Source organism: Homo sapiens, chromosome 4, assembly GCF_000001405.40.
Source record: "Homo sapiens chromosome 4, GRCh38.p14 Primary Assembly".
In the NCBI taxonomy this organism is placed as follows: domain Eukaryota; kingdom Metazoa; phylum Chordata; class Mammalia; order Primates; family Hominidae; genus Homo; species Homo sapiens.
Window position 1 is genome coordinate 14,339,918 of NC_000004.12, and position 25,943 is coordinate 14,365,860.

At 40.2% G+C, this 25,943-nt stretch overlaps 1 annotated feature.

The window, feature by feature from the left end:
• Positions 24,856–25,414: an enhancer, noted in NCBI's record as "OCT4-NANOG hESC enhancer chr4:14366397-14366955 (GRCh37/hg19 assembly coordinates)". NCBI's record gives its function as "activates a minimal SCP1, AML or CMV promoter by ChIP-STARR-seq in naive H9 embryonic stem cells {active_cell/tissue: H9 hESC(naive)}" and the evidence as "EXISTENCE:reporter gene assay evidence [ECO:0000049][PMID:30033119]".

The window sequence follows — 25,943 nt, forward strand, 5'->3', positions numbered from 1 at the left end:
GACCACTACTCGCAGGTGAGAAGAGCTCCCACAAGGTCACAGAGTTCCCCTTCGACAGCGCTAGGTGCCAGCATATGTCATGAAAAGTGGTGCCCAATGAGGCTCACCTTTCCCTGGGGACAACTTAGCAATAACGCTAGATAATTTCATCTCATTCCTTTGCTTTTTCTTCTTTCTCTCCTAAATCTCATTCCCTACATTATCCCCTACTTTCGGATCTTAAGAACAATAGCCAAGCTGAGTCCCTTTTCTCATTGAGAATTTCACATCCCTTCATTCATCTGCAATGAATCCAACAGGGTGGCATTTGAACAAATGATTTTACTTATCTCTTACAAGCTCTAAATCTCCTGGCACAGGAGCCTCTGTGCAAAATGCAGAACTATTTATGTTATTTTTTTAAACAAAGGAAGTTCAATTTTCTCTTTTGTTGGGGAGGTTTTAAACCATCGTAAACTTCAACTAGTTCTATTGGTCCCCAGCAGGCTTGTTCCTCCTGCCTGTGCACATAACCACTACTTAATTTAGAGTGATTCAAAAGGCAGGGGAGACGAAAATGCAGAGTTCATGCTGTTAGAAGTGATCACTCTGCTTGGAGACATATGTAGCCACAGAAGGCTGAACAGATCAGAGTAGCTTAAAGCACTGAGAGATAAAAGGACCAGCATTGCTGATCGGGACCCCAGAGACCAGAGACGGGCCTGATGCATATATACAGCCCTGGCAGCCTTCATAGCTGCTGCCTTTGCTTTTCTTGCCTGCTTTTTTTTTGTTGTTTTTATTTTAATTTTCTTAGTAAAACTCTGATGAATTCAGGGTAAGAGAAGGAAATGGGAGCTGTGCAGATGTGTTAATTCAAACCTTACAGATGGAGTTTTCATTTCACATACATGGGGCATGAAGCTAACATATCCTATTCTTGATTTTTAAGGTAAAAAAATCATAAAAACAAAATGTCCATATGAATGCAATACGGTATGTGATTTAATAGAGAGAATTAACACACCAAGTCCACAGACTTAGGTGCAAAGACTGATTCTGGCACTTCTGTAGCTGTGGGTAGTGTGTATTCCAATGGATAATGTATCAGGGTTCTCTAGAGGGACAGAGCTAATAGGATAAATATATATATAAAGGGAGTTTATTAAGTATTAAATTACATGATCACAAGGTCCCACAATAGGCTGTCTGCAAGCTTGAGGAGCAAGGAGGGCCAGTCTGAGTCTAAAAACCAAAGAACTTGGAGTCTGATGTTTGAGGGCAGGAAGCATCCAGCACGTGAAAAAGATGTAGGCTGGGAGGCTAGGCCAGTCTCAACTTTTTCACGTTTTTTGCCTGCTTTATATTCACTGGCAGCTGATTAGATTGTGCCCACCAGATTAATGGTGGGTCTGCCTTCCCCAGCCCACTGACTCAAATGTTAATCTCCTTTGGCAACACCCTCACAGACACACCCCAAATCAACACTTTGTATTTTTCAATCCAATCAAGTTGACACTCAGCATTAACCATCACAGATAATAATCCCTAACTTGGTTAAGGGATTGATTAAATCCCAAATTAATCATTGAAAGATTAAATAGCGTCATGAAGATTAGATGCCCAGTGCAGTCATTGCTATAAGTGGATGCTCAGAAAACTTACCTCCCTTCTGTTTCTCATTTGTAGTTATATAACCTTAGGGAGGTCACTTACATATATTGAGTGTCAACTTTAAAACAGAGGTAATAGTGTACATATGATAATACATTAAAGGAATAAAATAAGGTAATAAGTGTTAATGTCAGTATAACTTATAAAGGGTTGCATAAATTTGAGGCATTTAGTTGTTACACACTCTGTTAGTCTAGATAACATGTTAACAAGCAACAGACAAGCTACTTTGCAGATTGAGTATTCATTTTATGGCACGCACTGTACTAAAAACTTTAAAAATATGTTCTCTTCAATTATTACGCCATCCTGTATAGTATATAATGTAGAGGTAGCTGACATTTATTCTGCATTTACTACCTGCTTGTCCCTGTTCTAAATGCTTTAGATGTATTACATTTTCATGTTCCTAACCACCCTAAGACGTAAGTAGAGTTATCCTCATTTTACAGATGAGGAAACTGAGGTGCAGGGAGACTAAGTCACTATCCAAGGTCATACAACTAGTAAGTGATAAAATAATATTTGAAGGCAAGCAGTCTGTTTCTAAAGCCTATAGTCTTACCCATAATATTATATGACAAAGTAATGACAGTTACAAGCATTTATTCTTTGAGCTCATAGCTGTGGTTCTCACTTAAAATTATTAACTTATGAGAATATTTCATAATATATAACAACGTTTTTGTTTATGACATTATTTCCAAAGGCAATGAATATATTACTTATTTAAATAAATTCTGTTGAGAAAAATGCTACCATTAGCACAGAGATGACTAATTTGCTACCATCAATAGGTAGCATTCTGAAATTGGGTCTGTAACCTGGGTTGGTATACTTATGCATATATTTATTAATACATATGTACTCCCATAAAGCTGGAATGCCATTTAATAATTCCTCTCTGCAGGATGCAACAATCAGAAGACATATATACCAGTCCAATATCCAGAAATAATTAAAATGTGATATTAACTCATAACTGCTGTGGGCTTGCATTCACATCTAAAGCATTTAGAGCAGGACAGAATCTCCTGAAATCTTCTTTTTAAGAATTCAGGTAGTCAGAGCACTTCTCTCTCTAACCGTGTCTTCCTACTTTCCAAGATACATTCTCCTTCAGCCCCTAGCAGTACAAATTAATCTTCTCTCTTTTTGTTTTTTTTTCCAGCCTTCTGACCAACACAGCAACAGCTGCTAAAGAAAAAGCACAGTAGAAATAAAGCAAGAGCAAGATATGGTAAAAATTTGTGAAAATGCAAGAAAAAGATTTAGTCCATGTGTATATATGCATATGCATATGTAGACACACATACATTTACATAGTGCAATTTATATAATATATATGCAAATATATACACATAAACAATTTAGAATTAGTGTCACTTATAAGAGGGTACAAGGATATACTTATATACTTATGTCATATTATTATTAATTGTATCTTATATAATTATTATACCACTATGTTATTAAACACAAATGCTTAACAATTTTAAGAAGCCATGATTTTTATGATATTTAATATTATATTGTATAATCATAGTGAACTCCCAATTTCTTGAAACTGCATTTAATTTTGCCCCTTTTCTTCATCACCTCTAAGTTCTTTATAGAGTGGAAAGCAGCTGTCAGGATCATTTCTGTGTGTTTGCTGACAGACGGAGTCCACAAAAGAAAACAAGCCTTTTCCCCAGTTTGATGGACTCCTCATTCCTCGCCAGCAGTGAATAAGGTGTCCAGGACTGTCTCAATGAGAAATCATGTGTCAGCAAAGGATTATATAAAGCCAGTGGGACATATTTTATTCTGCTTCTCACTTTTGGCTACCACTGTTCTTTTTCCTAAATCAAATTTTCTTCTGGCTTTGAAAGGTACTAATGGAGCATTATTAGTCCAGAAAGAATATTGCAATGGAGAATTGTAATTACTTTACTGCTATGGTGACATCAAACCAGATCACTTAAGAATAATGGGGCTTTAGTTCCCATAGGGAGATTGAGGTTTGGAGGATACGTAGAAATAGGAGTTCCATGACATGTAAGACAGAAAAGGAAGACAGCATTGAAACTTCTTTGGTTGGCATATTTATGTGTGAGACCACCCCCAACCTCTGCTGACATCTGTGTTTGAAGATGGAAATTAAACGTTGAACGAGGGCTTCAGCTCTTTTCTCAAGCTACTCTTCCATTGGCTTTAGGAGGTGAAAGATTTCTCAGCCAAAAATCACTCCTGTAAATCCAATGCAGTTATCCTTGTACTTATAATCATTTTTTTTCTATAAATCTTTAACAACTGACAAATACGTAGTTGGCTGGGCTTTATGCTGTAATAAAACACAGGCAAAGGAAGCAAGGTTGGCAAAGGGTTGTCTGATGTCCAAAACATGATTATTTGTACAACATAATACGAGTTAAACTATATTTGGAATTCTTAGGACTTTCTTAATTTGACCTATCAAACAGCTGAAGAGCAGTGTGTGGCTTTTAGGGTACGACAGAAAGTGTGCTTTGGTGTATATTCAGAAATCTTTTCTCTGTGTGAATTCCCAGATGAAAAGAGTGCTCAAGCCAATCTCTTTGCTGATACTCGGTGGGGAGCAAGATAAAAACTTCAGATATACCATCCAGATCCTAGAGAAAAAGACAGTCAGAGGAGAAGACAGAGAGGGAGAGAAACAGAAACAGGGACAGAGAAGAGAGAGAGAGAGACAAAGAGAGCGAGAGAGAGAGAGAACAAACACACAGGAAATGGCTTTGGAGGGAGAGAGATGTAGTTTCTATTCAAAACACTACCTCTTTCTCAAGGTTTGATTTTGGTGGTAGGCTGGACACTTGGCACCATGAGCTGGAGTTCCACAGAATCACCACACTTGGAATGGCTGGTGATTTATTTGCTGTGTGATCTTGGCCAAGTTACAAAACATCTCTGAGGTACCATTTTTTTAATCCATGAATCTCAGATACTTTATATGATGATTAAAAGGCTAACATTGAAAATAGCATCTGGCACATGGTAATAAAAAGCAGTATCTGGCATAGGCACTCAACTGTTTGTGCCGAATGAGTATTATTAAACCCTTTGACCTCTTTTAAACCTTTCACATCCACACACATGAAAGTTTGTGGGGTCAGAACTCAACTCTACGTCCATTTGGCTCCAAAGTTTAAGCTCTCACCATCTACAGATGCTGGGTGTGTGTCCCAGACCCACAATCTTCACCATGTGACCTTTGCAAATATCTGCGCCTTGTTGAATCAATTTAATTATCTCTAAATTCAGATACTAAGAGGACGATGTTTATCTTCCTTTTAAAGTGTTGATGAATCTGTCAAATTTCATCTTCTCCATTTTCCTAAGCCTGCATGTTAACCATTTTCTTTCTGATAGTAGACTTTATCTTAAAACAACAAAAAACGAATAATAAAATATTTTAAACATACAGAAAAGAAAAGGAAAATGCATTGTTCTCAACTCCCAGATTTAACATTTTAACTCATGCAACAAATATGGATTGGGGACAAGACATTCGCCATTCTGAGGACTGAGGACATGTCTGTCTGGGAACCAGATGCCCCTTCCCTTGTGGAGTTTATATTTGACTGACAAATATCAATGTGGCCATATTTGCTTTAGGTAGTCTTTTAAAAATGATATATTACTGACAGAGCTGGAGGCACCCCACAAGCCCGTGTTCTTCCTGCTAAACTTCCCGAGGTGGGTGTCTCTCCTCAACTGATTTATTTCCAGGGATGGTGTGGAGCCCAGTCCTCCCCCACCTGTCCAGGGAGGGACCTATAATCCCCATGTGTCAAGGGAAGGAGGTGACTGGATCATGGGGGTGGTTTCCCCCATGCTGTTCTCATGATACTGAGTTCTCATGAGATCTGATGGTTGTATAAGTGTTTGACAGTTCCTCCTTCACAGGCTGTCTCTTCTGCCACTCTGGGAAGAAGGTGCCAGCTTCCTCTTCCTCTATGATTGCAAGTTTCCTGAGGCCTCCCCAGCCATGCAGAACTATGAGTCAATTAAACATCTTTCCTTTATAAATTACCCAGCCTCGGGTATTTATTTATAGCAGTACCAAACTAACACACTGAGAACAGCCTAATATGCTGGACATGAGTCACTTCTGTTTTGTGCTGAAGTCAGCTGAGAAATTGTGACTAATTATAGCAATAGCTACAATGCTGTATTCTCCTTTTCTTTCCAGTTAGAATAAAAACAGAGTAAATAGATTAATAGCCCACCTAACTCCCATCTATCCTTATACGATCATGAAGATTTTCCATTTCCTTGACCTGCTTTATTTGTTTCTGAGTACATTTCGTTGCCATTTCATTATATTCTAATTATTTAGTGTCGGTCTCCCCACTGGAGAGTGGGCTTCATAAGAGTAGTTTTCTGCCTCTTTTTGCTTTCTATGGTATTCTCTACACCTAAAATAATTTCTTGCATGGTGGAGATGTTTAGTTTGTTTAACTATTATATGTATAATAGGTGGTATAAATATATTATACATTTAGTTCATCCAGTTACCCTTCCAATTAGCCACAGTTTACAGATGAGGAAATTGAGGGTCAGAAAGAATAACTGGCATGCCAGTGTTGCAGCTATACTAGATGATGAAGTCCCCAGTATTTCTGCCTTCCTACCCTCCTCTCTATTTGTACAGGTGTTTATTTTCTCCTTTGTCTCTAAATCTCTCTATCGTTAGCCGTCCCATCTTCCTACACCATTAGGGCTATGCCATGACTTACTCTATCCTGACTCCCTTTGCACATGGGCTGGAGTCCTACCCCCAGACCTACTTCAGTGACTGTGACTGTGCTGCCTGGTGACATGCTGCCTCTCTCTGTTACAGTCTGTCCACGCGGGTTCCACCTCCTTGCACCCTCCTGTCTCATGTTATCTCCTTTCAGTCCCACCTGATATCATCCACTTATCTATCCAGAATGATTTTGTGCACTCATAGCAAAGTTCAAGACTCCTGATTCCTTTTAATACAGATCTGACACTGCTGAGCTATTCAAAATAATGGCTAAGGAGGGAAGTCATAAAACATGGTATACAAACGCATGCGTGTTGTGCAGTTAGCATTTTAGTTACACATTTGTCTGTCAATCATTTAGAGGGTAAAGTTTATTCCTTTGAGCATAGATATTGTGGATGACATTCTGTTAATTTTATCTTGAATAAAATCACACAATGTATCATTTTTAATTTTTAACTTGTATTACTTTCAAGTGGAGTAATATCTTTTACATGATTGCAAATGAATCTGAAGGTGGATCATCGTTATTCTCATGATTATCTTCCAAACTTTAAGTTAATGTGCTCTTACCACATTCAACAGGGATGTTTTTAGTCATCTTTAACAACAGTTTCAACGGAATTTTCAAACACATAACACTTTCTTTTTGCATTCTTATACCACTACTTGAGATAATATTTTATTAAATTATGTAACAACACAAGAAGTGCAATTGTCATAACAGTTTAGAAAACAAACACATATAACTTTTAAGAAGCAGACTTTGTAGCAAAAATAATATGGTGCATGAGTCAACTGACTAAATTCTCTGAGCACTTATTGTGCCACGGATATTAATAATACTTTTTAAAAAGATATCAGAACCTTAAAAGTTTCTACTCTACTGAGTTGTGCCTGACTAACTGTATCTCCTTCCAAGCCCTGTTGGTAGGTCTTCTCCCCACTGTTGCGTGTGCGTGCTCCTCTGTTAAAATGTCTACTGTCAGGGTCCACTTCCCTGGGGAGCCCTAACTCCTCGCAGATAAACCAAGATATCACATCCCCACAGTCCTGCTGGACTCTGACATTCCAGGAAGCTCATAGCAGTTTTTTTCTCTTTTTTAAAAAATCCCATTTGAAATGTACAAAGGGTGTTGCACATTGACTCCAATCATAGTTAAGGATGCTGAACCTGGAGGAAAGAAAGCACATTTAATTCAGATAAAAGCATAGCTCATTTTCCCAACCCCACCAAATCAGGCAATTATAGCACGGGGCCAGAATTTTCTCCCACATTTCGCACGTAAAACATAATTCCGCCACCAGCTGCTCACCAGCATTTTGTTGTCTCCTCAACCGACAACAAAATGACAAAACAGATCAGCAGAGGGTGATCTGCCAGCATCACCAATGAGATGCAACTCCCCTCCAACCAGCCTGTCATTAGGAAACCGTTTTCTGTTTCTAAAATAAACCCTCTGAAATCACTGCCTTCCTACATCTGTGCTTCTACCTAGAAGAGAGAGATGTTCTCCTAACTCACAACAGGTGCTGAGATATGTCAGTGGAGAAAGAGGACGAACTATGCATAAGTAATGAGAAGCAGAGGGGCAGTTACTCAGGGTCTGAGACAGAGTCTTTTTGCTCATGATGTGTACAGCATTAAGGAAATTTAGAAATTTGGCATTAAGTGTGTGTAAAAATAGGATCCCTGGAAACCTATGTTTTGTCACATCAGCTCCTTACATTTTCCTTTTATGTTACTCATTTTCCTTCTGATCTTACTATACTCTCTATCCACATCACCCATCTTTCCCCAACTCCTCTCCACAAATACTCATTAAGAACCTATTAAGTAAAAATGTACTAAATGCTTTAAATGCAGGAAAAGAGGGCTAGGAAGAATATTTCAAACCCAAATTGGCAATAGCTGCTTCTGCCCTGCAGGCAGGTGGCATCATAGTAGGAACATAAACTTTAGCTCCCCATTCCTTGGTAGACAGAGGGGCAGAGAGAAGGGAAGAAAATGTGAAAAGTCAGACAGTTCTACTTTGTCTCTAAGGAGAAAGCATATGCCAAGAGGAGCACTGCATACCAGAGTACATTAAGGAATCTTCACATAAGCAAAAATGGAATGGAGAGCTATGTTGGTTTATTTAAAAATAAAAATTAAAAACAAAAAACAAAAAACACCACAGCCACCACCAACAAAACCCCAAATCCCAAAACAAAACTGAGAGGAATTAAGCTTTCAGGAAGCAGTAGGTGCTAGAAGGGTCAGCGCCTGACAGTGGGAGGCCTAGAGATTTCAGCAGACAGAAGGCAAAAATCCAAGGTTCTGTGTAATTCTCCTGGTGCTGTTACAAAAGTTCAGTAAAATTGGTGACATGCCCACAAGTCTTGATGAGTAACAATTTGGAGGTAGGATCCAAAGGAAAGGAATTGAAGATTAAACATGGGGGAATGTGTCAACATCAAGAGATGATAAGATCATGGGTTGACAGAACTCATTCAATGGGGCTCCAGGAACAAAGGTAACCAGTGAGCACTTACATCCCTACCCTCAATGCATCCGGCAAAAGTTTCAGAATGGCTGAATTGTGTACAGGTAGTTGTTTCATTGTGCATGCAATAGAGTTCAAGCAGATTTCCTTGGAATATTAAAGATTGGACACTCCAGCTGATATCAAAGCATATTCATGAATCCCCCAGCAGCTGTTAGCATTCCCATTTGACAGGTGATGAAGCTGAGACATAAGAGAAGTTATATTATTTGTTCAAGGTTACATAATTAAAAGCAAAGCTATAAAGAAGCCAGTTATTGTTTTTATACCATGCTAAGGTATTTTAGGGACACGTAAATATCAAACATTTTGTAGGTTCTTTAATTTATGTGATCCTTATTACACCATAGGACTAGTTTCATTTTACTGATGAGGAAAAAAATGTGTTCTGTGTAATTAAGCAGTTTTTGCTAGATGCCATATTTTGGCCATGATTTTAATCCATTTTTTTCTCACTGCTAAACTGTGCGTGAGATCAGGACTTTCCTTGAGATCAGGACGCTACTGTTCTATTCTGGTCATTTGGGGCCCATGTTTCAGGGAGAGAAGCCTTTTTAAGGGAGGTTATACAGTTTTTGAAAAAAAGAGGGTAGGAAAAATGAACTCTAGTCTCAGAGAGAGAGGAATGAAATATCAGGAGTCCAAGTTGTCACAAACAACTTGTTCTAAACAAGTCAGGAACATTAGAAAGAAATGCATGACGAAAAGTACTTTGAAGTTTTCTGAGCTTCCATTACTCTCATAAAACTATAAAGTCTGTGTGCTTACTTACATAACTAAAAATATTTATAAGAAAGTGAAAATGGTCCACGTTCTTGTTTTAAGGAGCAATGAGAATTTTTGGATCTTTACAACCTTATTTTATCAATCCACAAGGCTCAGGGGGAAATAAACCACATGGATGAAATGGGTGGTGACAACCTCAAAGAGCCAATAAGAATAAGGTACACCTTGGAAATTATATCATAGGAAAAAGGTAGATATAGTCCTGAGATAGTGGCCCTGAGGCTTAAGGAAGGAGAATATGTGGTTTCCTGATATGATTATCTATTCTCTTCTCCCAGCTTTTCTGTAAGTCAATATGGATAACCAAATGTATAAGAATATATTATCATTATAAGTGATATGGGAGTTCCTCTAGAAGGTAGCTATGCTCACCACTATACCAATGTCATATGAGGTACGTCCTCTTGAAAGGGAATATTTCTATTTAGAAAATGAGTTGATGGTCAACCATCTACATGTGAATATACATACTCAAGTGTGGAATCTGGAAAGAGACTCCAGAGAACAAAGGAGAGCAAAATTGTTATGCATAAGAAAATGAAAAAGATTTGAAATATTGTTGGATTCCCAGAGTAAAGAGTTGCAGAAAGAGCCAGAAAGACTTCTAGGGATGGGTTGCAGTATTGAGAGGCACACCTCAGCTATGGCAATTCATTGATGGTGGAGATCCAGAAAGAACATTTAAGAAGAATCAGCCCTAAAACCCAACATCCACTGTGAAGCTGGCTTATGAATATCTCTCTCTGGACAAATTTTCAGTAAAGCTAGCTACACACTCAAAGGCCTTCTGAGAGTCACTTTAGTTGCTTTTGTTGGTACTAAAACCCAGAAGCACACTTGCATTCTCTGTTTGGAAAGATTAATATAGGAAAAGCACACGCAAGATGATGAGGAAACACACTAGTAAAAGCCTTCAGGAAGAGCATAAATCCGAAGGCATATATGAACTTGAGAAGTTTAGCACTCTAAGAATTAACAAGTGTCTTGTTGGTAGGGAGGGGCATTGGACTCTGCATAAGTCCTATAATGAAGTTTGAGACCAATAATTTTTTAAATCCTAAGAGGTCAGGTCACTGATGCTAGGATCGTATATATTTGAAACATGCTTATTAAAACAAAGCAAAAGCTTGGGTTAAATGAACAAAACATTGTATTATTAAAATAAATTACAGCATATTTATAAGAAAAGTTCCATTAAAAATACAGGAGAGGCCTTATCATGGTCTTCTCCAAGTCTTAGTTAGATCAGGCGTTTATAACAGAATGCCATAGCCTAGGTGGTTTAAGACATTTATTTCTCACAGTTCTGGAAGCTGGAAGTCCAAAATTAGAGTGCCAGCATGATCGGGTTCATGGTGGAGACTTTCTCCCTGATCAGGTCCTCATACAGCTTCTCCTTAGTTTCTACACGAAGAGAGAAAGAAAGATATGTTGCCTCCTTCTTTTTTTATAAGGACACCGATCCCATCATGGTGGTCTCACCTCCATTACATTACCTAAATTTAATTACCTTTTAGAAGCCCCATCTCCAAATGCCATTACATTAGATATTAAGGTGTGAACCCCAAGTATCTGAGATATGTCTCAGATGTAGGAGGTTTACTTTGCCAAGGTTAAGGAAACATTCATGACACAGCCTCAGGAGGTCCTGAGGACATGTGTCCAAGGTGGTTGGGATATAGATTGCTTTTATACATTTTAGGGAGCCATGAGGCATCAATTAATATGTGTAAGATGAACATTGGTGCAGTCCAGTAAGGCAGGAAAATTCAAAGTGGGGGTTTCCAGGTTAGAAACAGATAAGAGAAAAATGGTTGCATTCTTTTGAGTCCTTGATAAGTCTTCCACGGAATACACAGTTTAGTCTGGCTCAGTGATTCTGCATTTTTGCATAAACAATATGGCAGAGGAAGCAATCAGATATACACTTACCTTAGGTGAGTTCTGTCTATCCGTGGTCCACAAGGAATTTTCTTGTGGGCAAACTGTAGGGAGGTATGTAGCTTCTTACCTTTTTAGCTATCTTATTTGGAATAAAATGAAACGCAGGTTTGCCCCAAGCAGTTCCCAACTTGACTTTCCCATTGACTTAGTGATTTGGGTATCCCAATATTTATTTTCCTTTCGCAAAGGTTTTGACATATAAATTTTGGGTGGACACAAACATTTAGTCCATAGCATTGCCTTGGCTTATGGCCCACCAGGAGCAATGACCAGTCCTGTCGGTGGATCATGCCCAGTCCTGATTTGACTGTTCCGGGTATGCTGTTTGCCTCACTGTACCAAGACATCGGCATATTCAGCAAGAGCAAGCTTCCAGCATCATCTTTGAGCATTTGGGCCAAGTGGGGAGGGCCTTGAACTAAATAAACATGTGTATGTTGAGCTAGAACAGAGTTTACAGAGCCCCAAATATATAGTTATAAAAGTATATTTGTGAACTTATTAAAAATAATTATTTTATGTAGACAGCCTTGAAAGAATTTTGCTTTCTTCCTTTTTTTGGTTACTCTGTATTATTTAGTCTTCCTAATAATTATTTACTACTGCATTTTTAAAAGTATAAGCATGTTATTTTTAGTGTAGTAATTATATAGTTGCAATGTATTATTGAAGGATCACTGAACTTTGGAGGAGACCAGGAACATCACGGGGGTGGTCTAGTGACGTCAGTGTAGGCGTCCCTGTGGCCTGCCTGTCACCATTGGCATCTGTCAAACAGAGCCAAGTATACAAACACTTCTAAAACACTGTTATTCTCGAGACAAATAAATCTGCTGCCAGAAAATCACAGTTGCACTTCCATTTCTGCAAAGAGAAAAGAAATTTTATGCTGAAATATTCAGCCTAGGCATACCAAAGGAAGCCCAGTAAATGAATTATGTGCTATTCCCCATGATACAATGTAACATGAATCCTAAGAAATTTACAGGCTTCAGCAATACTAATGAGTTACATGGTCACTACAACTTACAGAAATAAATAGTTTCATTTCAATGTCTACATTGCCACGCTGTCTTCATCATATAGCTGGCCACTTTAGCTACACCTTTGACAGTCAATACATTTCTAAAGATTATATGGGTTTCCAACATTTGTTTTGAAAACAACTTCAGCATTTCTTCTTTTTTTTTTTTTGTTTTTTTCTTTCCTATTTAGGTAGAGTCAAAGGTGTTATTCCTTCTGCAGGAAATGGAGACCAAAATGAAAGTAAATAACTGAGGGCTCATCAGCCCATTCACTCATCCATCTGTCCACTGAGGGATATTTCTGAATACAAATACTACCTCTTTCATTTACTTCTGATAAGACTTACTGCACTTTAAGTAGACCCTCTAAAACTGTCTTATTTATCCGTACAATATGGGAGTTTTTACTCCTATATCTCAGAATATTGGAAAGATTAAATGAAGTTATGTATACTGAGTGCCTCTAATAATTCCTTTTTCTCCAGTTGGGGGACAGAGTATAAAAACTGTGATTCTGATGCCAAAATACTGAAATTTTAGAGTACTTCCTTTGACTATTTCTGTGACATACAGGACATGTATAGGGAATTGTGACTGTCCAGCAGGCATGTACAGAGTGCACTGTCCCTAAACTTCAAGAAAGTCTGTAGCACAATATCTCTATAGTTTGTTTGGTTGTATTGAGAATATTCTTTCTTTTTTTGAGATGGAGTTTCGCTCGTGTTGCCCAGGCTGGAGTGCAACGATGCAATCTCAGCTCAGTGCAACATCCGCCTCCCAGGTTTGAGCGATTCTTCTGCTTCGGCCTCCCAAATAGCTGGTATTACAGGTGTGTGCCATCATTCCAGGCTAATTTTTTTGTATTTATTATAAACAGGGTTTCACCATGTTAATCAGGCTGGTCTCGAACTCCTGACCTCAGGTGGTCCACCCGCCTTGGCTTCCCAAAGTGCTGGGATTACAGCCGTGAGCCACTGCACCTGGCCGAGAATATTCTCTGTATATGTATTCTTCCGCATTTAAGAAGTTACACTAAGTCATTTTAACTCTTTGCAGCCTTCCCCTCTCACAGAGAGGTGAGCCAGGTTTCTTCCCAATCACTAGAACTAATACTTCATTGAATCTTGACAAGGTATTCTGCTGCACTTAGCGACCCACAAAGCATAGTTACACCTGGGATTTCATCACACTACACACATTCCAATATTTATCAGATTATATGAGATTTTAAAAAAACTGTTTCCATCTTTAAAGGGCTCTAAGGAGACAGCTGAGTTCCCTGTTCCAAAGCAAGCTAAAGCCCTCTAGCTGTGTTAATACCTTGTGGCCCCCTCTTTCCACCACCTGGGTTCTGCTATTTTTACTTTGGTTGGTTGAATGATTCCCAAGTAACCTGCCAAGGTAAATAAGTACCAACTCTACTCATGAATATTTAAGCCCAAGTGGATATACTGGGTAGCTTTGTGGCTAGCATTGGATTTCCATATAAACCATAAGGAAGCTGTTGTGACTATGGTTGAGCCGAGCCTTGAACTCTTCAACAGTGCAGTGATCCCTAGCCAAGCTGCAGAGTCTGGAGACTGCATTCTGTGTGCCAGGGTCCACCTGTGGTATAAATTGCATGGATCCTTTGTCACTTCCCTGTTCTGAGACTGCTGGGCTCAGACACTGCCCCATTGTCTCTGCAGCGTCTCTGCCTCCACAACAATAAGAGAGAAGAAACTCCTGGGCCATTTCTCACCCCTACCTGCCACCACCTTTGTTAACAAAAACCAACATGTCTGTTAAGGTTATAAATGGTTTTATATTTGCACCAGAAAATTATTTTCTTTGCTATTATTCTTTTCTGTTGAATGTTTTCTTAGACGTTTTCCAGCGTTCAATGCAGTGGTAGACAAAGAAGTAGGACATGTATTCAACATCCATTTCACCATTTCTGCATTTTTCTTCTAAAATGTTATGGTTTTTTCTTTCTATTTATATTTTGTGATGGATGTTTGTTGTTAGCCATCTTGACAGTAGTTGTGATGGTTAATTTTTTTACATGTCGACTTGCCTGGACCATAATACCCAGGTATTTGTTAAGAAAGAACTCTGGATTTGAGGGGTCTTTTTTTTGGATGATTTTCTGGGAGGGTATTTTTGAATGAGATTAATATTTAAATTGGGGGAGTTTAAGTATAGCAGATTACCCTCCATAATGTGGGTGGGTGTTATCCAATTACTTGAAGTCCTAAATAGGACAAAAATACTGACTTCCCCTGAGCAAGAAGAAATTCTCCTAGCAAACATTCTTCCGACTTGAACTGCAACCTCAGTTCTTCCTGAGTCTCCAGACTACCAGCCCACTTTGCAGATTTTGGACTTGTCAGCTTCCATAATTCTGTCAGTCAATTCTTAATATGAATATCTTACTTTCTATATATACATCTTCTTGGTTCTCTTTCTCTGGAAAACCCTGACTGTTATGGTGTGTTGGTCCAGTTGAAGGCAGAATGTTACATATTTGTAGATTTCTAGGATCAGTATGCTGCAATGGTAATGCATTTGGACAGTTCCATAGTCTTGAAAACATGTCGGGTACAAAGAAACACACTTTGGAACCAGAGAGGTAGGTTTGGAACTTGTCCTGCCACTTAGCCACTTGTGCTGTAAGTTGTGACCTTAAGCTGTCTAGTCTTTCCAGGGCTCAGTCCCCACATTTATAAAATGGGGATGATACGTGTGTTAGGCTGTTTTTGGATCACTATAAAGAAACGCCTGAGGCGTGGTAATTTATAAAGAAAAGAGGTTTAATTAGCTCACAGTTCTGCAGTCTGTGCTGCCAGCATCTGCTTCTGGTGAGGGCCTCAGGAAGCTTCCAATCACTGTGGAAAATGTGGGGGAACCAGTACATCACATGATGAGAGTGGGGACAAGAGAGAGCGAAGGGGGAGGTGCCACACTCTGTTAAACAACCAGATCTCACAGGAACTCGGAAACAAGAACTCTCATCAACAAGGAGATGGTGCTAAGCCATTCATGAGGGAGTCGCCCCTCTGATTGCAACATCTCCTATCAGATCCCACCTCCAACACTGAAAACAAAATTTCAACATGAGACCTGAAGGGGACAAATATCCAAACCATGTCAATAACTGTTCTCACCACTTAGGTTGTGATGAAAATGAAATGAGTCAATAAATACTACACCCTGTAACAGCACCTAGCACCTAGTAAGCTCTCAGTAAATGCAACCTATGTACAAAGAGATTGTTGCATGAAACAGAAAGATCTCTCATCTACTGGATGCTTGCTGGATGTCTGGCACTCTGCTAAGTGCTAATGTATATTTATTCATGTTATCTTCATAGCCATTTTTTATTTTAATGTTGTCACTGAAAGAGATGAAGTAATCTGCCCTCAATGGTGCAATTAATAAGGGATAGAGCCCAATGCTAAAGCATTTCCATCTTCCTCTGAATACCATATACTTTTATGACACAGTGCCTGAGCTACATGTGCAAAATACTTAGCCGACACATAGCATACAGCAGGTACTCAATAAATGTAAGCATTGGTATAATAATTAGTGGCCTAGGTTTTTTTTTTTCATTTCTCCTGAGAAAAACTGTCAGTAAATTATGATAAACTATTTGCTTTCCTAAGAACAAATAACATGTGGTTTGACCAAGGTTTATTGCTATTATTATTAATGTTGATAAACATGTTTTATATCAGAAAAATTTTACCAAGTTATAAAAATTAAAATACATTATTATTTTTAGGGGACAAGAACAAAAGAAAAATATAGAATCCAGCAAAAATAAATCAGTTTAATATGGTTTGTGCAATTGGTATTATAATCATAAAAATTTGAAATACAATGACACAAAATAAAAGATGGCTTTGTTCACTGTAAATCAGAAAACATTTATTATCTTCAACTCTGTAAGGACCCTGGCCTGAGTAGAATAAGGGAGACAGGTGAACTAAAACAAAGTTGTTCACCTTGAAAACTGTTTGTAAACTAACTGAACCTTTGCCAGGGAGAAGATCACTGATTTCATTGGTTCAGTAAATTGTTGCCTGTGGTAACCAGGAATGATGCTCCTGTGGCAGTTTTAAGCCTGCTGTTGATCCTCTTCCTATTGAGGAAAAGGTCTATGTGTTCGTTCCTGTTATCTGGGGCAAGTTTAGTGACTAACACGCCATCAACAGAAAGCGGTAGAAATGGTACTGTGCGACTTCCAAGACTAGGTCATAAAAGTAATGCAGCTTCTGCTTGGTTCACTGAAACACTTGCTTTTGGGGCCCAAAGCCACCATGTAAGGAGTCTCACAACTCCGAAACTGCCATGCTGTGAAGAAACCCAGGCCACATGGAAAGGCTGAACATACGTGTTCCTGTCTTCAACCCCACCGAGGTCTCAGCTAACCCCAGACCTGTGCTATGTAAAAAACTCCTCCAGGTGATTCCAACCCCAGCCACCAGTCGTGCCGGCTATTCCCTGCCCATATTCCTGACCCGTGGAATTGTAGAACACATTAAATGGCTGATTTGAGCTGCTTAGTTTGGAGTAATTTGTTAGACAGGAGTAAGTAACCGGATATCACATTTTAAAGTCCAAGAGATCACAGGCAATGGAGGCAGAATGAGGTGAAGAGAACGGTGAAGTGGAAGTAAGGATGCTCAGAGAAGAGTGCCATAGAATTGTGCTGCACTGCCCTCTCCCAACCACTGTGAAGCAGGTGTGATGACTACACTCCTTCTGAGATGTGGAAGCTGTGGGTGGAGGCTGGAACTGGCTGCTCCAGGTTGAATAGGAAAGAAAGAAAAAGGGCCTTCTTGTTATGGACTGAATGCTGTGTTCCATCCCCCAAAATATAAGTTGAAGTCCTAACCAACATTGTGATGATATGAGGAGGTATGGACTTTGGAAGGTAATTGGGTTTAGATGTGGAATGAGAGTGGGGCCCTCATAATGGGATTAGTGTCCTTAAAATAAGATACTAGAATGCACATTTGCTCACACACTCTAACTCTTTGTCTCTCATGCACATAAGAGGTCATTGAGCACATGATGAGAGCCAGTCATCTACAACCCAAAAGAGACTCAGCACCAGAACCTGAACTGAACTGCTCTGCCCAGACTCCAAAACCTTGAGAAATAAATGTCTATTCATTAAGACACCCTGTCTATAGTAATAGTAATCCAACTAGACTAAAGATTGTATTTGAACCCAGATCTGTGTGACCACAATATTTTGCTCTGTCCACTGCTGCACAGAAATGCTTTCCAAAATGGGAGCTCTCAACATTGGGATTCACGGCCTAATCCTAACTCAAATTACAGCTGTGACATGTTGAGCAGGAGTCTTTATCTTGTGATGCCAGAAAGACATCAAGTAGTCTCTAGAAAGAAAGATTTCTTCTCCACCAGAGAATGATTTTGAGAATTAAGTAGGATGATGTCTTGGGCAAAGGAATAAAAGCTTTGAAAAAAAATAGTACTTTTCTTAACTCATTAGATGGGACCTCTGACCTGACCTATATTCATTTTGTAGTAAAATTTGACCTGAACCTAAAGGGAGTAGATTTATAGCCTTAAGGTATTGAGTGTAGTGTAAATTCTTACGAGTTTCCCTACAGACAGTTAATGTGTTTGCTTATGTGGTGTTGCCCCAGGCCCCTCTAGCAGAGCTGTATAATATTGGGTACCATAAAATCCAGAAAGCCCCAATGCACATTTGGCTCCTCAAGTTTCAGATAAGAGATTGTGGAAAACTATTGCATTCACTGATACACCATTTCCTTCTCTTTCCCAGCCATGCTGCCACATGTTGTTAAGTGTGAATGGGTATGAGAGGTGAGAGTGTGCTGGCAGCCCTCACAGCCCTTGCTCGCTCTCAGCGCCTCCTCGGCCTTGGCGCCCACTCTGGCTGCGCTTGAGGAGCCCTTCAGCCCGCCGCTGCACTGTGGGAGCCCCTTTCTGGGCTGGCCAAGGCCGGAGTCGGCTCCCTCAGCTTGCGGGGAGGTGTGGAGGGAGAGATGGGCTGGAACCGGGGCTGTGCACGGTGATTGTGGGCCAGCGCGAGTTCCGGGTGGGCATGAGCTCCGCGGGCCCCGCACTCGGAGTGCTGGCCGGCCTTGCCGGCCCCGGGCAGTGAGGGGCTTAGCACCTGGGCCAGCAGCTGCTGTGCTCAATTTCTCGCCAGGCCTTAGCTGCCTTCCCGCAGGGCAGGGCTTGGGACCTGCAGCCCGCCATGCCTGAGCCTCCCCCTCTCTCCGTGGGCTCCAGTGCGGCCCGAGCCTCCCTGACAAGCGCCACCCCCTGCTGCACGGCACCCAGTCCCATCGACCCGCTGAGGAGTGCGGGCGCAGGGCACGGGACTGGCAGGCAGCTCCACCTGCGGCCCCATTGCAGGATCCACTGGGTGAAGCCAGCTGGGCTCCTGAGTCTGGTGGAGACTTGGAAAACATTTATGTCTAGCTAAGGGATGGCAAATACACCAATCGGCACTCTGTATCTAGCTGAAGGTTTGTAAACTCACCAATCAGCACCCTGTGTCTAGCTCAGGGTTTGTGAATGCACCAATGGACACTCTGTATCTAGTTAATCTAGTGGGGACGTGTGGAACGTTTGTGTCTAGCTCAGGAATTGTAAACACACCAGTCAGCACCCTGTCAAAACGGACCAATCAGCTCTCTGTAAAACGGACCAATCAGCAGGATGTGGGTGGGGGCCAGATAAGAGAATAAAAGCAAGCTGCCCGAGCCAGGGGTGGCAACCCACTCGGTCCTGTTCCACATTGTGGAAGCTTTGTTCTTTTGCCATTTGCAATAAATCTTGCTGCTGCTCACTCTTTGGGTCCACACTGCCTTTATGAGCTGTAACACTCACCACGAAGGTCTGCAGCTTCACTCATGAAGCCAGCGAGACCATGAACCCACTGGGAGGAACGAAGAACTCCAGACGCACCGCCTTAAGAGCTGTAACACTCACTACGAAGGTCTGCAGCTTCACTCCTGATCCAGCGAGACCACGAACCCACCAGAAGGAAGAAACTCCGAACATATCTGGACGTCAGACGGAACAAACTCCGGACACGCTGCCTTTAAGAACTGTAACACTCACCGCGAGGGTCTGCAGCTTCGTTCTTGAAGTCAGTGAGACCAAGAACCCACCAATTACGAACACAGGTATTTCTTTATATTTCTTAAAACTTTATTTGACTGTGACATTTAACAGGATGTTTGAAAAGGGCATATAACAGCCTGCAAAGAGCCTAGACAGATTTGGGTTCAAAATCTTGCTCTGCTCCATGTTCTTGGTTGGGTGTGAGTATTTAGCATCTCTAAATTTGTTTCTCTAGGTTTTAAATGCGGGGAGTGATATATCTCTCGCAAGAATCAGGCCTGGCACTTTAACCACCTTCAGTAGTAGACATCACTTTAATTAAATGCACGTGTTGCTATTATGTTTGCTAGGAAGCCTTGCTGCCACAAGCTGTCTGTGGCAATCACGACCATTGCCCATGAAGCCAATTTGCATCTCTTGCTCATTAAGTAGCTCACAGTGGCTGGAAATTTGACAGCCTTAATGTTTGAACTTCTTGAACAGCAGGTTTAGAACTGCCAGTGATTTTCCAAAGTTGTGTCAAACATCAAGCATTACTGAGGTAGGAGTTTTCCCCAGATGTCTGTGATGAGAGGGAAGTGGTCTCCTCTGGATATAATGATTCATGGGTGCAGGTGTTGGGCTGAATGACACAGGAAGGTAAAATCAGGGCTTCTCTTCAAGGAAACGTTAGCCTCAATGTAACTCCTGAGCCAGGAAGCCATTTAATACTAATTAAGCAGCAGAGCTTGAGCCTCAGGCTGGGTTTCGGAGATCCTCCCTTCTCCTTTTTTTAATGGACCCTTATTACAGAGGCAGAAGGCATATTAACCTAGGACCCAGAGCCTGCTACCATAAATTCACCATAAAATCTCGTTGACATTGGTTGACTGTCAGGGATATAAAACTCAGTGCCCATGTTTTCAATTATACAGGACAATTACTCTGTGCATGTCAGTACATGCAGACCATAGCCATAGTGTGGGATTCATCCCATTCTAACATGTGTGGGAACAGTGGCAATCTGTCTTCACACAGTGTGCCGGGAGGGGGGGCGGTTGAAAAAGTCCAAGCAATGATCCAAACTCTCTTGTGCATCAGTTCTAGGAAAGGAAAAGATATGTTCTGGTTAGTTTCAGTAATGTTCTTGGCCTTCCTCCCACGTAGCATATCATCGTGCATTAGAACGATCATTTTACTTATTGACCTCCACTAGCCGTTTGAAGGCTGGAGCCATGTCTATTATTATTATTATTAGTCTTCAGAATCTGTAATAGCACCATCTGTAGAGATGGTACTCCATAACTATATCAACCTCAGTCTGTGGCACACAGTATTGAGCTCAGTACTTAGGACAATTTATATTGAGTGTGTCTCTATAACTACAGCACCTCTGTCCTTTGGAAACTTACCTGTAGCTACTTTAGATGGATATTCTGAATCATTCTGTCTGTGCTCAGAGCCAAATTATCTGACTGTGGCTGAATCAGACACCAGCATTCAAGGCAAGTTTTTACCAACTTCCCTGGTCACGTGACAAAAACTTCAAACTACACTCTGCCTGTCTAATCTAAATCCCTCCCCTCCAGGCTGTTGAACATACCTCCAGTGTATTATCTTTCTAACACAGACACGTGTTCTGCTACGAGTGCTACATAAAATGTTGATTTCTCAAACATCATGTGAAAGTTCTTTACCTTAGCCTTTTGGACTAATTAGCTTATTCTTTCATTGAGTTCAGATGTGTTTTCTGGTATAAACACACTGAGCAAGACAGGTCTGTCGCTTCACTGAAGCTGTGCTATCTGTAAGATTTGGACAGTTAGGCCTTGGTTTGACTGTAAGCTCTGCCACAGTCTTACCAAGTCTTACCTGTGGCAAGATTAGGAAATCTTCATGAGCTTCAGTTTCTTCACCTGTAAAATAGGAATAAATAATGCTACCTGAAAAGTTGTGGTGAGGATTTCATGAGATGCTGAATGGAAAGTGTCTGATGGATCATGATGTAAAATAAATACTAGTTCTCTTCCTATAAACATAACTGTTCTTTGATTCCACAGGAAATACCTTTTTCTATGATCTCCTACTATTTAGGTTTTACCATCCTTCAGTATGACTGGACATACAGGTATTTGTAGTTTGCAAAGTAGTTTTTGTGTATGTGAGGGCATGGTTCATACCCACAGCGTGAGATAGATGAAGGAAGCATTGGCTTTCCCTTACAAAACAGAAACCAGCGATGTTGAACACAGAGAAGATAAGGAACTTTGCAGAGTGACAAGAGTCCTAAGCCTCAGAGCTAGATGCCATATCAAGTGTTAATGAATCAAAATCCCTCAAGGCTTAGCATTTTAGTGCCATGCCCACATTTAGACTGCCTGAGTTGTCCTCTTTGCTGTCTTTTCACATCCTTTAGCAGGGTCTCTCTCCTCACTGTACCTAACTCTTGACCTGCATCCCCACTGCCGTAGGGATGGGTTTTCTCAAACCTGTTCAATCTCTTCTTACAGCTAGATTCAGCAATACTAGATGTCAGTTCTCCATAATTTTGATTTTTATGGGAGACATTGAAAGATCTATCATGTGAAACTCCAAACATCAGAGAATGTAGTCTTTTGTAGTGATAAGATTGGTAATGGAGGAAGCTTAGTGATGGAGAGAAGGTATCAGATGCCATGGCAATTGAAGGGCTTTTCTGGCTGGTCAAATGAAAGCACCCACTCTGCTCCCTTTTAAAGACTTCTTTCCTTTTACAAGTATGTTAACCACAATAATCAATTCCATTAGCATTTACACAATTGCAAATCCAAGTTGTTAAGTATTTTGAGCATGAGTCCCCAATATATGCATGCTTTTAAAAATTTTGAATTGTATATTTGTGCTAAAAGACTAATATATTTTGTATGTTGTAAAAAAGGACATTAAAAGGAGGTGATAAAGATGACATAAGAATATGTTGAAATGTCTGGCTATTCCTGATGGCATTATAGCAACCATATAAAACTTGGACTTCTTTTTTTTTTTTTTTTTTTTTTTTTTTTTTTTGAGGCGGAGTCTCGCTCTGTTGCCCAGGCAGGAGTGCAGGTGCAGTGGCGCGATCTCGGCCCACTGCAAGCTCCACCTCCCGGGTTCACGCCATTCTCCTGCCTCAGCCTCCCGCGTAGCTGGGACCACAGGCACCCGCCATCATGCCCAGCTAATTTTTTTTGTATTTTTAGTAGAGACGGGGTTTCACCGTGTTAGCCAGGATGGCTATGATCTCCTGACCTCGTGATCCGCCTGCCTCGGCCTCCCAAAGTGTTGGGATTACAGGCGTGAGCCATGGCGCCCAGCCTAAAACTTGGACTTCTTACATAATTTTTCTGTTCCTGATTACTAAAGTGGGATTATAATGTGTAGTAACTATATGTATTCATTTTATAGGATATGTACATATTTTATTGGATATTTGTAGCTTTTATAGGTATGATAATACAACATGCACAGTAATATATGTATGATAATGTGTGCACCTTGTTAGTATTCACCTTGCATTTTACCTTAACTGTGCCTTATGTTGCAAGATATTAGCTGATGCTCATGAAAGTGATATGGATCAACATTTTAAATGTTCTTCCAGATAATTTCAGAAGTTTTGTTTTCATCTTACTATATGCCGGAATTCTTTGGAACATTATTTTAATTCATTAATGTGGCTGCTGGGGATGACTTGAGTCTTAGAAAAACTGTCAATTCTACCGTTTTCTCATTCACATATTCTTGTGCTATTCTCATTGCCTTCAATCAGTCATTTCATTCTATAAACACTGTTAAACCACTTGCTTACACTCCTTGCATTCGCATAGTTGACATAAGATCATGCAACCCATAAATATAATTAACCAGGAACACATAAACTGCAGCGCATTAAAATACAAGCGATAGAGGTCCCCGGCTTCCCCTTGAATATCTGTGCTCTCCAATACAAACAAACAAACAAACCAAAAAACAAAAAAAACAACGAAACCGAAGTTTTAGCTGGTTGGGAAGATTACATACTACCCTGGTCTCCTTTGCTGCTAATTCAATCATTTGACTAGGTTCTGGATAGTGACATGTGAACAAATTGATGAGTGCGACCTAAATAGAAAAAGAATATGTGCTTCCTAATTTTTTTTTTGGCAAAAGCTGAAGCTTCCATCTTTTTTTCACAATAGGGAATCCTTATGCTCAGAATGGCTGAACAATACTATTGTAAGTTTGTGAGTGTTCCACACCACAGAGTTACTATTTGAACCCTGGGCTGCTCACACCCATGCTATTAGGGCACTTGGAAATAAACCTCTTATTACTCATTGATATTTTTGTTTTTGTTATAGCAACAAAGTGAACATTCCCAACTAATACAATATGCTAAAAGTTAATACATTCGGCCGGGGCGCGGTGGTTCACGTCTGTAATCCCAGTACTTTGGGAGGCCGAGGTGGGTGGATCACAAACAAGGTCAAGAGATAGAGACCATCCTAGCCAACATGGTGAAAACCCGTCTCTACTAAAAATACAAAAATTAGCTGGGCGTGGTGACGCAAGCCTGTAATCCCAGCTACTCAGGAAGCTGAGGCCGGAGAATTGCTTGAACCCAGGAGGTAGAGGTTGCAGTGAGCTAAGATCATGCCACTGCACTGCAGTCTGGTGACAGAGTGAGACTCCATCTCAAAAAATAGAAAACAAAAAACAAAAAAATAGTTAATACATTCGTGTGGATACCTATCAGACCCACTGTGCTGTATAAGTCCCAGTGACCCCCTCCAGCCTCCAGGATGCCTGGTTAACCATATCAATAATAGTCACACAGCTTAAATTTTTTCTTACCTTTCAGATTAAAAATCAATAAAACAGGATCTTTTTTTTCCCTTGCCCCATACAGAACACTAGACATTTGAATAATTTTCTGGGTTACCGTTAATTTTTTCCCATTTTTCTTCTGTATACTGTTTTTACCAACCTTGAGCAACATTTTTGAAGGCAAGGAATAGCTTTGTCTGCAACTTTTTTGAAGGCAAAGGTATTCTGTACTTGTAACCATTTCTGTATATCAGTGGTTCTCAAAATATGGTCCCTGGAATTAGCATCAACTGGGAATTTGTAGGAAATGCAATTTATTGATCTGTACCCCAGAATTGTTGAATCAAAAATTCTAGGATGGGCCCGAACAACTGTTTTTTTTTTCTTCCTTTTTTCAAGTCTTCCAGGGGACTCTAGGCCCAGCCTAAATACAAGAATCACTACTGTGATAGTTTGCTCTTAAATCTCAAGTGCTTAAGGAAGAGCCATAATTAAATGATAAAAGGTGGTGAAGTGATGGGATTTAAAGTGATGTTAGGCAGGCAGGAAGTGCTGTGGGACTCTCCAAATAAAGGTTTTAGAATGTCCCCAGTGAAGGACAGAATGTTTCCACCAAAAGATTTAACAGCTTGTGATAGAGGGCTGGCTGATCATGGCAGCTGATAAAGAAAAGTTCTTCCTTAAGTAAGTGTGAGAGTACTACAGAGCTGGCAGAACTGGGTGGGCAGCTCACCAGGCTGGGGCTGCTATTGGGCTCCACAAACAAGAAGTCTGTGTGGGATTAACTCCCAAGAGAGTACACAGTGGTATAAGAATGATCAAAACTAAGATAGTGGCTCCCAAGGGGTGAAATATTAGCATAGAAGGACACAAATAGATTTCATGAGAAAAATAAACATCTATGAGCAAATCAATGTGGGCCCAACAGTTAACACTTTCTCTACTACAGTACTTGCCAAGCCTTTAATATCCTAATAACCATTTCAAATCTCCAAGAAAGGGCTATAGTAAGCAGCACCTCAGGGAAATTTATGGATCAGCTATTCTTTGAAACAGACTTTTAAAACAATGTTAGGAACAGAATGTGTACAAATTCCAACTCAAGTGTTTTGAGTAGAGGGAAATAATTGAAAAATAATGAAGACTGAGCTTGAGGCAGGCGGTTCTAGGTAATTTATGTGGATACCAGTGTTTATAGTTCACCTCTGTGACTTGGTTAGGATCTAGTGCAGTTCATTCTCATTCATTCCACAAGGTGGAATGCTAATCATTGGATTTTCATGATGGGTGTTTTGT